Source organism: Homo sapiens, chromosome 7, assembly GCF_000001405.40.
Source record: "Homo sapiens chromosome 7, GRCh38.p14 Primary Assembly".
NCBI classification, from domain to species: domain Eukaryota; kingdom Metazoa; phylum Chordata; class Mammalia; order Primates; family Hominidae; genus Homo; species Homo sapiens.
This window is the reverse complement of record NC_000007.14, coordinates 149,992,522-150,008,731: the sequence shown is the minus strand read 5'-3', so window position 1 is coordinate 150,008,731 and position 16,210 is coordinate 149,992,522. Positions and strand designations below refer to the sequence as shown.

The 16,210-nt window shown below is 46.2% G+C and overlaps 1 protein-coding gene across 21 annotated transcripts in view, besides 1 other annotated feature; it reads left to right on the top strand.

The window, feature by feature from the left end:
• The window catches only part of ACTR3C (actin related protein 3C), a 442,186-nt gene that overhangs the window by 314,814 nt on the left and 111,162 nt on the right, over positions 1-16,210 (top strand). The gene's annotated exons all lie outside the window — the stretch shown is intronic.
• Positions 7,725-7,912: a silencer, noted in NCBI's record as "fragment chr7:149697909-149698096 (GRCh37/hg19 assembly coordinates)". NCBI's record gives its function as "represses an EF-1alpha promoter that drives an FKBP-Casp9 reporter gene in an ReSE screen in HepG2 liver carcinoma cells, and both phorbol 12-myristate 13-acetate-treated (for megakaryocytic differentiation) and untreated K562 erythroleukemia cells {active_cell/tissue: HepG2 | K562 | K562(+PMA)}" and the evidence as "EXISTENCE:reporter gene assay evidence [ECO:0000049][PMID:32094911]".

Sequence of the window (16,210 nt, the reverse complement as noted above, 5' to 3'; positions counted from 1 at the left end):
AGCAGATGTGCAAAGGTCTTACAGGTTACAGTTGAGTCTCAGTGTGAGATGGGTCACTGGGGGATGTGGCCCCTGGGCAGCTAGTGCTATGGAGTCTGTAGAATAGAGGCACAGTGATGACCAGTTATCTCTGGAGCACTGTGCTCAGTTCTAGGAGACACATTTTTAAGAGAAACTCGTGCTTTCCTGAGGAGGTCCGGGTCTGTGCTCTCTGATACAGTAGCCTCTAACCACCTGTGGATATTTAAATTTTATGTAATTAAAATTAATGAAAATTTAAAACAGTTGCTCTGGCACTGGCCACATTTCAGATGAACTGGAGCCACGTGCGGCTCCGGCTGGAGTGTCAGGCAGCACAGTGGAGAGCATGCCCTGTCCTCTGGAAGGATGTGGCTCAGAGCACGTCCAGCCCGGAAGTCACAGAGCCAGGACCTCATGGAGTGAGAAGTAGTTGAAAACACTAAAGTTGTGTGCCCTACAAAATTGTCCTCAGACAATTCAGAATCTATGTCACAGAAGCAGAATTGGATTTCTGAAGAGTGACTCATGACAGCATAACTTGGATTAACTGAAGGGATGTAAAGAGAGGGTTTTAGCTGAATGCAAGTCCAACATTTCCATCAGAAGTGTTCAAAACGTGGAATGCGAGTCTCCAGGAATTGTGATTTTTTTCTTTCGTTTAAGACGTTCAAATAGAGACTGCTGTCCAATTATTGCCAATGCTAGGGAGGGGATTTCTGCCTCAGATGGAGGTAGTGAGGGGTCAGCAAAGAATGTGGATTTTAGAACTAGGTAGATTTAACCCAAGTCCTGGTTCTATCATTTTCTAACTTAATGGCTTTGCTCAACTCACCACACCCCTCCGTTCTCCCCAGTAAAGTGAGGACAATACTAATTGTCTCACAATACTGTGTTGGGTGTTAAATGAGACCACAAAGTAAAGTATCAAAGGCAGTGCCTGTCCCAGAGCAGGTGACTTGCACTAATCAGAGGCTCACCCTGCCTTGCTGCTCCACACACACGACTGACTGACAACATCCGTGACCCACAACATCCACAGCTCATTCCCACGGCAGTCCTCACGCAGGCACCAAAACTCTACCCCACTCATGAAATCGACGTGAAATGCAAGGAAATCAGAATGTGGTTATCTGAGGTATCAACTTTAATCTTCTCTGGTTTATTTTTTTAAATAAATTAGTTACAGAGCGAGACTTTAATCATTATCAGTAGCAGATTTCACTAGCACAATTATCAAGTGTCAGAACCCCAAAGGTGAGAATCGCCGTTCTTGGAGCATCCTAAGCCCTGTCCACCTTTAGAGGTTCCAATGCTGGCATAGGGTTCAAGACCATATGTTTTATTATGAGGAATTCAAGTGAGACCAGACTATTTTGTTGTAAATACTATAAGAAAGAAAACATCCTTTCTTCTCCTCCATTTCTATGCCTGTGAAGATGTGATGAGCAAGCCTTGGAAGCCTCAGTTCCTCAGACTCTTCCAGGCATGGGGCCATGGAACTTGGCAAAAGCGGGTGCTGTGTGGATCTCAGTCTCTGGAGCCATTCGTTGGGTCGTGAGCAGCAAAGTAGCCTTCATCTTTCCCAGTCTTCACACTTCGAGGACCCTCACTGCTGGTGGGGAGGGGGTTTCTGCTCTAGGCTGTGGTAATGCTATCCCCCGACCTGCAAATTCATACAATGAGCCAACTGGCCACATGCTCCAAGGAGCTAAGATGCTGTTGGTCCACAAACAAAGGTTCAGGTTCTGTGTAGCTTAGGATCCGGTTGCTAATTGGCTTGAAACATTTAAATCCTCTTGCATTTAGTTTAATATGTGGATATGCCTATTGAGAAGTATGTTTTGAAATCTAAGGTTTGTATTCCCATCCATAACAGGAAGAATAAAACCTTGAAAAATGTTTCATTTTAAATACAGACCCCTTGTGTATCAAAAAGTATATTTTTTTGGGAATACAAAGCCACCACCACCACCACCATTGCCCATAGAGGCGCCTGCAGAGGCTGGACTTGCTGCTTCTGGTCCGTTGAGCTGAGAAGCACAGAGGTTCAGTGGGTTGTTGAGGGCACCAGGGACCCCAGGTGGAACTGGTAAGAAAAGCTGAATCCAATCCTTGGCTTTTACTCACCTTGTTTAAATTACTGTCCTTAAGCTTTTTCCATATTAGCCTGGAGCCATAAATAGTTTGTGTGGCTACTTTCAAAATTCAATTCTGGGCCGTTTGCGGTGGCTCATGCCTGTAATCCCAGCACTTTGGGAGGCCGAGGCGGGCGGATCACAAAGTCAGGAGATCGAGACCATCCTGGCTAACACAGTGAAACCCCGTCTCTACTAAAAATACAAAAAAATTAGCCAGGCGTGGTGGCGGGTGCCTGTAGTCCCAGCTACTCGGGAGGCTGAGGCAGGAGAATGCTGTGAACCCAGGAGGTGGAGCTTGCAGTGAGCCGAGATTGCGCCACTGCACTCCAGCCTGGGCGACAGAGTAAGACTCCTTCTCAAAATAAATAAATAAATAAATAAATAAATTCTGTGCAATTCAGTCGTATTTATTGGGAAGCCTTTAGGTTCCCAGAAGAACTGAGCCAACCTTGAAGGGAACAAGAAAGAAACAGAGCCTGTGATCAGTGGGCACTCACAGCAAATAGGAATCCTCCACCTCCCCTGCTTAGAAACCTCCAGCAATTCCTCAGGGGTGCAGGTAGAATCTCAGTCCAGCAGCCAAGGGCTTACGTATTTTGAGCGGTCTATGGCTTTCTGTTGAGCAGACTTATAGCTTCTCATAGCTGGGCATGTTTCTATTTCCTGGGTTATCTGAATGCATTTCTTGTAACCCTGGCAGAAGAAAAGTTTCTATCAGCCCTCCTTGTAGGAAGAAAATGTGTTCCCTAGTTTGTAGGCAGCAGAGAGCCTGCTGTGTTAGTTATGTCCCGTCAGAAGCATTTGAGAAAGTCTCTCGCAGTATAACAATGGCAGTTTTTTGCTTGAGGGACAGAGAGAGAGCAGAAGCTGGTGAATCTGACAGGCAAGGGTCCCTAAGAGAAAGGATAAGGTCCCTAAGAAAGGGCCCCCTGCCCTGCCTTCCTCACCTCCTCTTCCCCCCCTCACCACATGGCCTTAGGAGATAGGGCGGTGTCACTGCCTCTGCTGACCCTCCCGATGTACCAGATGAAGAGACTGGGTCAGTAACGCAAGGAGGTGATGTGGACATTCACTACCCAGCATTTTGTTCATCGTGCAGCTTTTATAAACTGTCCAAAGCAAGGTTCAGAAAAGGCAGGATTTTGCAAAAATCTCACATCAGTTTCATCTAGGACGTGTGGACATCACAGTGATTGGGATGATGGGCTGGCTGACCCTTGGTGGTTCTCAACAATTTCCAGGATGTTGCATTTATTTATCCATGACATGACATCAGGGGTGGGAGCTGTGCTTATGCAGAAAGGGGTTCTCACAGACTGGACCATCTGCCTACCTGCTCTCCCACCTGTGTATTGTATCTGTTTATTTAGGTGGAATTTTTAATTTACAGAACAGTTGCAAAAATACTATGACCTATTTATATCCTTTACTCAGATGACCAATTGTTTACATTTTGCTCCATTTACTTTATTATTTTCTCTCTTTCTGTATTTACCAATAAAAAGAGCATTTTCTTACAGAGGCACAGGACCGTGACCAGAATCAGGATATTCGCAGTTGGCACAGTATCGGCGTCTAACCTGGCATCAACATTCCAGTTTCACCTGCTCCCTGGCACACTGTGGACCACTGCCACCTTGGTCTGGGATCCACCCAGGCCTCCAGTGTGTGTAGTTGCTCTGTCTCCTTAATTTCCTTTCAACTAGAATATTTCTTCCCTCTTTCTTTACCTGTTATGGCCGTTACATTTTTCAGAACAGAACAGGTTTTCTGTACAGTGCCCATCACTATGATTTGTTTGATGTTTCCTCATAATTAGAATTTTGGCCAGAATCCTAGAGAAGTGATGTTGTGTCCTTGCCATGCATCATATCAAGAGGCACGTGATATCAGTGTGTCCTGCTGGGGATAGTCATTTTGATATCTTATTTAAGGTGGTGTCTGTAAGGTTTTCCCACCGTAGGTTGCTCTATTTCCTTTGAAATGAACAAGTAATTGTGGGGCGATTTTTTCGGACTATATTCATATCTTTTGACTCATCAAATTTTCACCTCCTAGTTTGGGCATGCATTGATGATTCTTACCCAAGTCAAGTATTATTACAATGGTTGTCAGATGGCAATCTTCTAATTTCATTTCTCCATCTGTGCCCATCAGTTGGCATTCTACGAAAATATGGAGCCGTCGTGAGCTTGCATCACCTTGTGCAAGAGCTATGGCTATGCTGAGCTTCTCCACATATTTCCAACTTTAGTACATGGGCAGGTGAGGCAAGCACCACTCTTACCTTCGAATACCACACACACACACCACACACACATATCACATAATACACACCCCACATACCACACACACAACATAACACACCACATAACACACATGCTACATATGACATCATACATCATACACACCACACACACACCAAATACACCACATGCCACACAACTTACATACCACATCATACACACCATACACACGACACACAGCACATAACACACCACATGCCATACATCCTACATACATCATACACACCATACACACACATCAAATACCACACCACATGCCACACAACCTACACACCACATCATACACAGCATACACACGCATGACACATAGCACATAACACACCACATGCCACACAACCTACATACCACATCCTACACACCACACACACACACCACACACACCCCATAACATACCACATCACATACCACACACACCATATACCACATCATATACACCACACACAAACCACACACACAAACACAAACACCACACACACCACGCACACCTACACCCACAGACACTGTACACCATACACCACACTGTACACACCACACACCACACCACACCAGACACCACACATACAGCACACACACAAACACACCACACACACTGCACTATATACCACACACACTCCAAACCCCACACGCATTACACATCACACCACACACACACACACCAGATAACATACCACACACTACATACCACATGTACCACACACAACACACATCCTACATACCACACACAGCACATACCACATACCACATCACATACCACACCGCATGCCACACATCCTACATACCACATCATACACACCACACACAACACATACTACACACCCCACAGTACCACATACACCACATAACACACTACATGCCACACTTCTTCCATACATCATACATACCACAAACATCACACACACAGCACACACCACATACCACACATTCCACATACGACATCATACACACCACACACACTGCACATATTATACCAACACATCCCACATACCATATCATATACACCACACACAAACCACACACACAAATGCAAACACCACATACACCATACATACCCACACACACAAACACTGTATACCATACACCACACTGTACACACCACACACACACACACCATACACACACAAACACACACACACACAAACTTCTGTTGAGGCTGTGCCCCCACCACTTGGAGCCACTACATCTCCCTACCTCAACTTCTTTCCACTTGGTAGTCCTGTCTTCTGAAGTTAGTAAATGCAGGCGTGAGGCAGGGAGGCGCTTTGGCTGATCGGCAGAACCCTGGGATGAGCCACGGCATGGCTGTGTGGCACGTGTGGTGTGGGTGTGGGTAGGGGGATCCCGCCACGCGTCCTTCCCACCCTGGGTCCTGTGTGTGCCCATTACAGTGTGTTTCCTATTAAAGTTCCTTTCATGTTTGGGCCAAGGGTGTTTCCTTTAATTCCTGCTGGCATAGAAGAATGAGGTTTTCTGCAGCAATTTCTAAGTCTGAAAAGGGAGGCTCTGGGGTAAGAATGTTGAACAATTAAAATGATTAGAAATTATCTATATAAAATACAGGTATACAAAATATGTATATTGAATCCTAGCTAGACAGACGGTATCCCCGGGAGAACTCCTCCTTGAGGAATGGGCCATTCGCTTCATAATAGATGCAAGATCATCCTCGGGCCAGTTAGCATGCACAGTTTCCCGGGATGCTTTGCGATACAAATTCATAAACATTGATTGAAAGGTCAGGGGACGTTCCCATCAACACGCGGCTCTGTCGGATTGTTCAAGGGAAAGTTAGCACCGTTGCATGCAGGCAGTTGAGTTCTTAGGGAAGAGTGCTGGCCCTGGTGGAGTTTTCCACGTCTGTGTGATTTGGTGTGGTGTGATATAGTCACTGGGACTTGGTTCGGCGCAGAGAGAGCTGCATGTTTCTGCTCATGTTATCTGGAAATAAGGATTCAGGCTCTGTGTGCTGAATTATGTTTGCGGTGATCTCACAGTTGTGAAGAAGAGGCATGGCTAGGAGGCATGTTCAGAGCTGGAGAGGGTATAAAATTCTCATTTCTTACCTTCTCTGAGGGAAGGAGTGTGGAGTGGCAGATTTCCAGTCTCTGGGTCTTATATCAGTGTTGTTCTCTGGGACCAGCACTGTCCTCATATGGCTACCACTGGGACGTGTAGTTGACCTCTGACGTGCACAGCAGATGCACGGACAGGCAGGGTGGTGCTGGGTGAGCATTAGCCGTGTGCAGCTGGTGAGCCTATGCCTTCTTGTTGGCAGGCCTCGCTGCTGAGAGTAAGTTGGTGAGGACCCATGCACGTTGGTTCTCGCATGTTTCCAAAGGTCACTTCCTGCCTCACTGGTGAGCCTTTCTCCCAAATGAGAACTCCTCGCTCTTGCCTCCCTTTCTACTTTCTACATCTTCCTGGGACTTCCTGGCCATCTCCTTTCTGCATGCATGCTGCAGGAATTTCCACTCCAGGCAGGAAGCTCTCAGTATCTGCACAGCCCAGGTGCAGGACATGTGCTGCCCAGGCTGGGTTGCTGTCTGTTGTTTCACCCTGCACAGTGAAGAGAATGGGGGGTTAATGTGTCAGGCATGGCATGCGTGATTTAGAACCATTCATGCCTCCAAGTATTTGAGGCAGCTCCTGGGATCCACATCTGTGAGCAAGGAAACTGAGGCCTGGCTTAAATCACACGTCCAAGACCAGAGTTAGGAACAGGGCACCTGCCTGGACCCAGGTTCACACCTGTAAGCTTGTCGTGGGTGTGGGATATGCCTTAGCTCTCTGAGCACGTGGCAGAAATTTGGGGATGTATCACCCACTACTGTAACTGTGACAACGTCTCCACAGGAGGAACGGCAAAGTCTAAATTAAAAGAACGTTTCCCGCAGGGGGCGCTCTTTTTTGGATCTCTCTGCTTGGAGATATCTCTGCCTGTGTAGGATCAAAGCAGAGGGAACCTCTGTGTTTTCAAATAATGTTTTTCCCCTAAATCAGCACCAGTCCTAATTGAGTAATAGAGTAACAAGAAGTAGAAAGGGGAAGCTTTAGCAGCTGGGCCTTCACCTGGTCTTCCAACAAGCCCCAACTCGACAAGAGCCAAAGCAAGAGACACCATTTGGAGGGGAAGATAAGAAGTCTTCACAAGGTCTTTTCCGGTGTTCTGCTTTTTCCTGGGAGGCGGCCTTGGCGTGTCCCTGAGACCTCCTGTGATGCTCACGGCTCTGGCGCTGCCATTTTTCTTGGGTGTCGTCTGGTGATGTCTGCAAGGCCAGCTGTAATGTCAGGGCTGTGCTCGATAGCACAGAAAAGACAGCGTCCTGGAGGAGAGCTTGTTGGAGCAGATTTACAAGGGAGGGTGCGGGTGTCACTCATCGTTCACGCTACAGGACAATCCCTTTCACTCTGGGAGCTGAGTCCCAGGTGAGAGCTAAGTTCCAGGCGAGACCAGGGAGTCGAGGGGACTGGATTTCTGCTTCTCTCCCAGGAGCTGCGGGCTGGGAAGGGGAAGGAACAGAGCTGAGGTGTGACATCGCCCCCGGTTTCCCCTGTTGCCCAGGTTATAGCTTGGGTGGGGCTGACTTCAGAGGCAACATTAGAACCTTTTAAAATACCCTTAATGATTTACATGAATTAGAACAAGAAGGCAGCTGGGTGTCGTGGAAAGCGAGTGGGATCTGGGTTATGTCCTCACTGTGCCTTTTTATGCACACAAAGATTTATCTACCCATGCTATCAACTTAGTGTGTATTATAGTGAAATGCCGTAAATAATCTCATGTCCCCTTTATACAGATAAGAAAAATTTTTCAGGGACATTGAGTTAACTTGATAAAGTTCTCCAGTTATCAACCTGGTAATTCCAGTTCTAGAAAATGGCAAGAGGTAAATGCCAACAGTGGGTATTTATATAAGAATGATTATGGATCAGTTAAGCAAGTCAGTAAAAGGAAATCGCTAGTGTGCATAAGGTGCTATTGAGGCAATACCTTTATGCTTTTGGTTTATAAAGTAAAACATTTTAAATCTTGGTATTTGTGCTATGTCTGCATAATAAAATATTTCATAATTAAAATCATACTTTGGAAGATTTTTTATTATGTAAGAAAATCTCTATATTACAACATTAAGTGAAAACAGTGGGAGAATAAAATCTAAAACTACATATAGAGACCAAATCTTATAAATAATAGATTAAAAATACTAGTAAAAATAGTATAATGACTATACTAGATTGGCTGTCTCTGTGTGTGAAATTATGATTAAATGATTTCTAGTTTATTCTTTCTATATTATTCCAGATGTTTCATTATTAACATCAATTATATTTATAACAACAACAGCAAAGGTCAACGTGATTTATATTTTTAGAAAACCAGGTATTAGTAGTTATGGTTGTGTAGCAAGGCTGGCTCAAGAAATGGATCAGACTCTGAGAGGAAAGACCCACGGTTTTGTTGGGTATTCACCGTGTGCTCCCCTTGTAGGTAGAGATGATGGGATGGACCTGGCGTTCACTGCAGCTGCCTGTCTCCACACTGCACAGCCTGCTTTGGAGGATGCCCAGCCTCCGCTTGCTGGCCTCCTAGCAGTCTCGTCAGTTTTTCCTGCAATGTGAGTCACTCCCTTTGCTGTAGCCTGGGTGTACCTGGAACCAGCCAACTACATATCCACAGTCAGGCGGCCACTCAGTCTCCTACCAGAGTTTACAAAGCCAGGGTCCTACAAACACCCTCAGAAGTGGGCTTATTTTGGCCCATCCCATGAAAGAAGAGGCTGAGTCTGACAACAGCAGGAGCAGCAGCAATGATCGCTTGTTCCGAGGCCTCTATGTGCAGGGCACACCTCCACTCTCCCGCCGTGCTGCGAGCCCTTTGAGGGCAGGACCCGTCTGATTGAACGCTATTGCTCCAGCATACCTGGACAGGGCTTCACACTGGACATGCTCAGTAAACTTGAGAATGTAAAACAGATGATCGAATTCCTCTGTACTCCAGATGATTTTGCTAAACAGAATTATTATGTATTTAAAATACAGGATTATCACTATTTGAAGATGAAATTAGACACTTATGTAATAAATTACCCCAACACTTAGTGGCTTAAAACTACGCACATTTGTTACCCACAGGGTCTGGGTAGCAGGGATCTGGGAGCAGACTGGCTGGTACTCTAGCTCAGGCCTTCCAGGAGCACGCAGCTAGTGCTGGCTGAGGCAGCTGTCACCTGGGGGCTTGTGGAGGCAGCAGGGCAACGTCCAGGCTCTCTTATGTGGCCTCTGGCAGGAGGCCTTGGGTGCTAGCCACGTAGGCCCTTCCTCATCATGTGGCATTTGGATTCTCCCAGAACAAGTGACTGAGGGAGTGGTGGGAGGGAGGTTGGTGGAGACAGCAGCGCAGCCCCTTCCTGTGATCTAGTCTTATGGGTTGTGCTCACTCACTTCTGCCACATACATTAGGAGCAATTCATAAAATCCAGCCCAGACACAAGGCTCCACCTCTTGAAGGGAGAGGTATTGATATGGTTCTGCTGTGTCCCCACCCAAATCTCACCTTGAATTGTAGCTCCCATAATCCTGTTGGATTATGTTGGAGAAGGGACCCTGTGGGAGGTAATTTAATCGTGGAGATGGTTACCCTCATGCTTTCTCATGATAGTGAGTTCTCACGAGATCTGATGGTTTTATAAGGGGCTTTTCCCCTTTTGCTCAGCACTTCTCCTTCCTGCTGCCGTGTGAAGGACATGTTTCCTTCCCCTTCTGCCATGATTGTAAGTTTCCTGAGGCCTCCCCAGCCATGCTGAACTGTGAGTCAATTAAACCTCTTTTCTTTATAAATTACCCAGTACTGGGTATGTCTTTATTAGCTGTGTGAGAATGGACGAATACAGGTATCAAAGAATTTGTGGTCATCTTTTTTAAAATCACAAAGTTTCAGGAGATTTAATTAATAAAGTGAGACTCAGGTCTAGGCAGGTAATTAGAGGGGCCTCCAAGAAGGAAACAAAGATTTTGTCTAACACACTATGGTCTGGAGACAGATCTCCTAGGGACTTGCTCAGCTTTTTGCTTACAGCATTGAGCTCCAGGGATTGGCTCTGCTTGCCACAGGGTGATGTGCCCCATCTCTTTATGTTACTGAGGGCAGAAGAAGGGTGGATGTCTATAGTTTGCCTGCATTTCAGGATCCAAGTCAAGAAGGAGAAGAAAGAGAGGAATGGCCCTATTGTGGGAGCCTCCATGATCGCTATTGCATTTGGCAGTGATATATACTCCCTTAACCTTTCCTCTGCAAAGAAATTGATAATGATACTTGCACTAGTAAATGTCCACTTCTAAATGTCTGTATAAATAAAACAAATATCTAAACTCATTCTTGCCCCATAAAATGTCTACACTTTAAATCATGCCAATCTGCTCATACAGGCAGAAACTAAAGAGCCTTTAAATTTGTTTTGCAAACAATCACATCAGGATTTGTTCTAATATACTGATGCAGTGGACAGATTTATGATTTTTAGGAAGATAGGCACATATTTTGCAGAGAGTAAAAATGTAAATTCAGTGATAGAAAATGGAGGTTTGCTCCATGTAAGGATAGGGGCTCATATGACTCAGAGGAAAATAGAGGATAATCGACTCTATTATCCTGCCTTTATGTGGAATTGCAATAATGTCCATTCATATTAAAAATAAAATTGAAGACTTTCCTAATAATCCCGTCATTCACAAATAAATATTGATTGAATGCCAGATATATTCCAGGCACCAGACACTCTCTTAAGCACTTGGATACAGCAGTGAGCAACAAAAAACCTTGCCTTCCTTGGCTTTGAATTCCAATGCATAGGGAACAAAAGCAAATGAATCAGTAAAAATTATTACATGTTATATGGTGATAAATTATAAAGGAAAAAAATCAGGGAATGAATATAGAGGGTCAGGGAAATGGCTTAAAATTATTAAAAGTGTGGCCAAGAGGTCACGTTGCAAAGTTCACATTTGCCCAAATAGCTAAATGAAGCAAGGGAGTGAACCACCACAGCCAGCTGGAGGAAGAGCATTTTGAGAATACAGAATAAGTGCAAAGGCCCTGGGGTGGTCGGGGAGGGTGGTCTGTGCAAGAGCATGACGAAGTCCATCGTGGCTGAGGAGTGGTCAGAAGAACCTGACCATGTGTGCCTGTTGGTTATTTAAGGATTTTGGTTTTAACCAAAGTGAGCTGGGTGGCTGCTGGAGGGTGTGAAGGAAGAGACTCCTAATCTGAGATGGATCTCTGGGATGAATGGTTGTTGGTGTTTGAGAAGCTATTGCAGTAATCGAGTCAAGAAATGGTGCTGGCGTGGCCCCGGGTGGCAGTGGTGGGTGAAAGCACTGAGAGTGTGTTCTGCAAGGAGACTTGCCAAGATTGACCCACAGACCACATGTGGGATATTAGGGAGCATAACAGTCAGGTTTCTGGCCCAGCCCCTGCAAGTATAGAGTGCCATTGTTTTTAGATTGGGAATGCTGAGAAAGGAACAGGTTTAGGGTTATGTTTGGTTTGTAAAGTTTAAGATGCCATTGGATACTGAAATAAATGTATGAATCTGGAGTTCACAGAAAAGGTTTCGATTAGATTATAATAGAGCAAAATCAACTTCCAGAGTAGAAGTGGGAGTTTTATTTTTTATTTATTTATTTATTTTTTTACCAGAACTGCTATTTTTACAAACTGAAAGTCCCTTAGAACATACACTGAAAAAAAAAATCCCAGTTATTCTCTGAGTCCTTACATAGAATTGAAGACCACCTGCCTGTTTGTCTTTGCCTGTTTCCTTTTCTTCTGTTCTTAACTCCTCTCCAGCTCCTGAATAGCAATTTTGTTTCTCTCTGCCTCATGCAACAGACTTTTCTGGATGATTCGCCCCATCCCCCGTCATGCCAAGCCTCTGCCCCACTTCATTTCTCTTTCAGTGAGTGGAGCCTCCGCCGTCTCCCAGACCTATTGTTGCCTGGACCCTCTCAAGCCTACCCCTTCCTCTCCTCCCTCCCCTCCTTTACTCCGTCCCTTTCCATGGAGCCACACTCGGGGCAAGACCATCTGCTCTGGCCTTCCGAGGGCTTCCGCACTGCTGGCAGATGCTCCCCACGTCCCCTAGAATGGTTTGTGATCTTTCTCTGTCTGGTCCCAACATGCCTTTCCAGCCTCCTCCCTCCCCACGCCAGCAGTTAACCCACGCATCCATCCAGGAGATTTCCCACACAGACTGCACATACCGCACAGGTGTGACCTGCTGGTGATGATCTGCTTTCTCTAAAATGGACTTTCCCTTCTGTCTGCACTTGCTGATCAACAAAAAGCCTGCTGGGCCTTTAAGACAGGCCTCGAACCACCTCTGCTGTGAAGCCTTCCCTTCCTCGTCAAGACCCCAAACGAGGCTCACCTCCCCGTGACCGTGCAGCGTGCTGCTGGTCCTGCCAACGGTGCCCCTCACGGAGCTGTGGTTGGTCCTGTGTTTACCTCTTCGGCCTTTCCACCCCTCCAGAGGTCCGCCTCTTGTCTCCAGGTCTTTGTATCTAACTGACCAGTTGGACACTCACCAACCTGAATGCCATGTGGTGTTCTGGAAAGCTTCCTCTGTAATTTCCAGTTCAGATCAGTTGTTCATCCTGTGCACTCCAGCCTCATCCTGTGCTTAATTCTACCACAACAAACAACGCAGTATTAAAATTGTCTGTGCAGCTTTCTCTGCAGTCTGGAAAGACCTCGAAGAGAACAGACCTGCCTTATTTACTGTGCGAGTATCCAGCTAGAGCCTGGAGCTCAGTAAATATCTGTGATTTCACTCTTTCTCTTTCTCCTTCCATCCCTTCCCCTGTCCTCCTCTCCCTTTCTTCTTTCTTTCCTTCTTTCTTTCAGCACACATCAGTACAATTCCACACAATGGAAAGAGAAGAGTAAACAAAGCAGGACATTTAGAAGGGAAAGTGGAGGAGCAAAGTGAGGAAATCTTATCAGAAAAGGGGTGATCAGCAATGTTTAATATTGTCACAGGCAAGAAATATGCAGGCAAAAAAATCCTTTACATTCTGTAACTAGGACATTGCATGGAGCTTTATATAAAGAGTGTTGGGCTGGGCGCAGTGGCTCATGCCTGTAATCCCAGCCCTCTGGGAGGCTGAGGCGGGCGGATCACCTGAGGTCAGGAGTTGTAGACAAGCCTGGTCAACATGGTGAAACCCCATCTCTACCAAAAATACAAAAATTAGCTGGGCACTGTGGCGGGTGCATGTAATCCCAGCTACTCGGGAGGCTGAGGTGAGAGAATCACTTGAACCTGGGAGGCAGAGGTTTCAGTGAGCCGAGATCACTCCATTGCACTCCAGCCTGGGCAACAAGAGCGAAACTCCATACTCCATCTCAAAAAAAAAAAAAAAAAAAAGAATGTTAACACTTCTTGCTCCTACTGTCTTACTCACTTCTTCCTTCGTCACTCATTCATTCAGTAAACATTGGATTTCTATTTCCTGCCTCCTCCAAGATTTTCTAGGCACTTGGACCTCAAAGATGAAGCTATTCTCACACTCACAGATTGTCAGGACTTTGAGGCTCTATGGGTGATGGGCCTTTACACATTGTACTGTCTCCATAAAGCCCCTCCTTAGCTTCCATTTTTTTTTCTTTTGAGATGGAGTTCCACTCTTGTTGCCCAGGCTGGAGTGCAATGAATGGCACAGTCTCGGCTCACTGCAACCTCTGCCTCCCGGGTTCAAGCGATTCTCCCGCCTCAGCCTCCTGAGTAGCTGGGATTACAGGCACACACCAATACTCCCAGCTAATTTTTGTATTTTTGTAGAGATGGGGTTTCACCATGTTGGCTATGCTGGTCTCAAACTCCTGACCTCAGGTGATCCGCCCGCCTCAGCCTCCCAAAGTGCTGGGATTACAGGCATGAGCCACCGTGCCCGGCCAAGCCCCTCTTTAGTTTCTGTGGGGACCCCTCATTCAGCCACAGACTTGCCCCTTCGATGGCCACTTCATTCTTCCATGTGCGTTTTTCCTTGTTCTCAAGTTGTCTCCTCGGCTTGAGTGTGAAAAACATTTCATACTTTTTAGTATCATCCTTAGGATAAGTCTCATATCTGTGCACTTTCATATTGATCAAAAAAATCACAAGAGGATAACTGAATGGACAACTATAAAACCTCCTGTTTCTCTATTTCATGTCAGACAACCCTAGCTCCCTTAGCTTTGCTTCCAGCTCCTTTTTCCTGATGCTTTAATCATTGCTGTTCCTCTCTTAATGTGCATCATGCACAGTATAGTTCTCTAAAATCAGGCCACTTTAAGCCATCCACAGGATTTTATGGAATACTAATCAGTGTCATGTTCCACTCAACATGCGATCGGATTTTGAGAGCAGTGAACAGGGTGTCCTCTGAGGGCCTGGGGTAATATCCCCATTCTGAATCACAGAGGCCAGCCCCGTGGGGTCAGAGGGTTGGCCTGGTTAGCCTTGTGGAGCCTGTGTTCTCCAAACAGACATTTAATTACTGTCCCCAATGAGTACCCTGATCACAATACTTATTGCTCCAATGGGGTCTGTGGGTGGGGATTGCAAAGGGGAAGGTTGCCCTGCTTAGCTCAAGGGGAGCATCTCCTGAGAAAGCTGATTCCGACAGAAGTGCAGTCAACTCAGCAAGCCTCTTCCTTCTGTCCTGTTCCTAAAACCATCTGCTCATTGCAGGAAGCGACTCCATTCCATCAGCCATACTGATGGCATTAGGTTCTCCTAAAACATCTGGGTTTTCCTTGTGGGAGAAAATCCTGCAGTGAATTTAGATGTTGGTGGTCCTCTAAGCGAGGGCCTCATTGAGTATAGGAGGGAAATTATAAATGTCAAATTATAAGTGTGCAAATTATACAAGTGCACCCCTGCTTGGCCTCGCAGGGCACCACTGGCCAGCTCCCCGCTCTCCAATTTTTCTTCTGTTGCCGTGATGGTGAATGTTAGTTGTCAACTTGATTGGATTGAAGGATGCCTAGATAGCTGGTAATGTGTGATTTCTGGGTGTGTCGGTGAAGGTGCTGCCAGAGGAGACTGACGTTTGAGTCAGTGGACTGGGAGAGGAAGACCCATCCTCAGTGTGGGTGGGCACCATCCCATCGGCTGCCAGTGCAGGCAGAACAAAGCAGGCAGAAGAAGGTAAGATAAGCTTACTCGCTGGTTCTTCTGGCTTCTTGCTTTATCCTGTGCTGGATGCTTCTTTCAGCTTCTCCTGCCCTTGGACATCAGACTCCCGGTTCCTCCGCCTTTGGACTCTGGCACTTATGCTAGTGGTTTGCCGGGGGCTCTCCAGCCTTTGGCCACAGTCTGAAGGCTGCATTGTCAGCTTCCCTGGTTTTGAGGCTTTTGGACTTGGACTGAGCCACTACCGGCTTCTCTCTTCCCGAGCTTGCAGATGGCCTATGGTGGGACTTCACCTCGTGAGCATGTGAGACAATTCTCCCTAATAAGCTCCGTTTCATATACACATACATCCCACAGATCTGTCCCTCTGGAGATTCCTGACCAATACGGTTGCCCACCCTTCTTTGTCCCTTCTTTGCCACGTTCACTTCTACGGGGCCTCACGGAACCCATGTGGCCTTGCCTTTCTGGAATCGCAGTCTCCTCCACGTGGAGATGCGTCACCTGTAGCTGATGGATAATCACTTGGAAATGCAGCTGCCCCGGACGGGAAGGGGTTGTGCATTTCTCATAT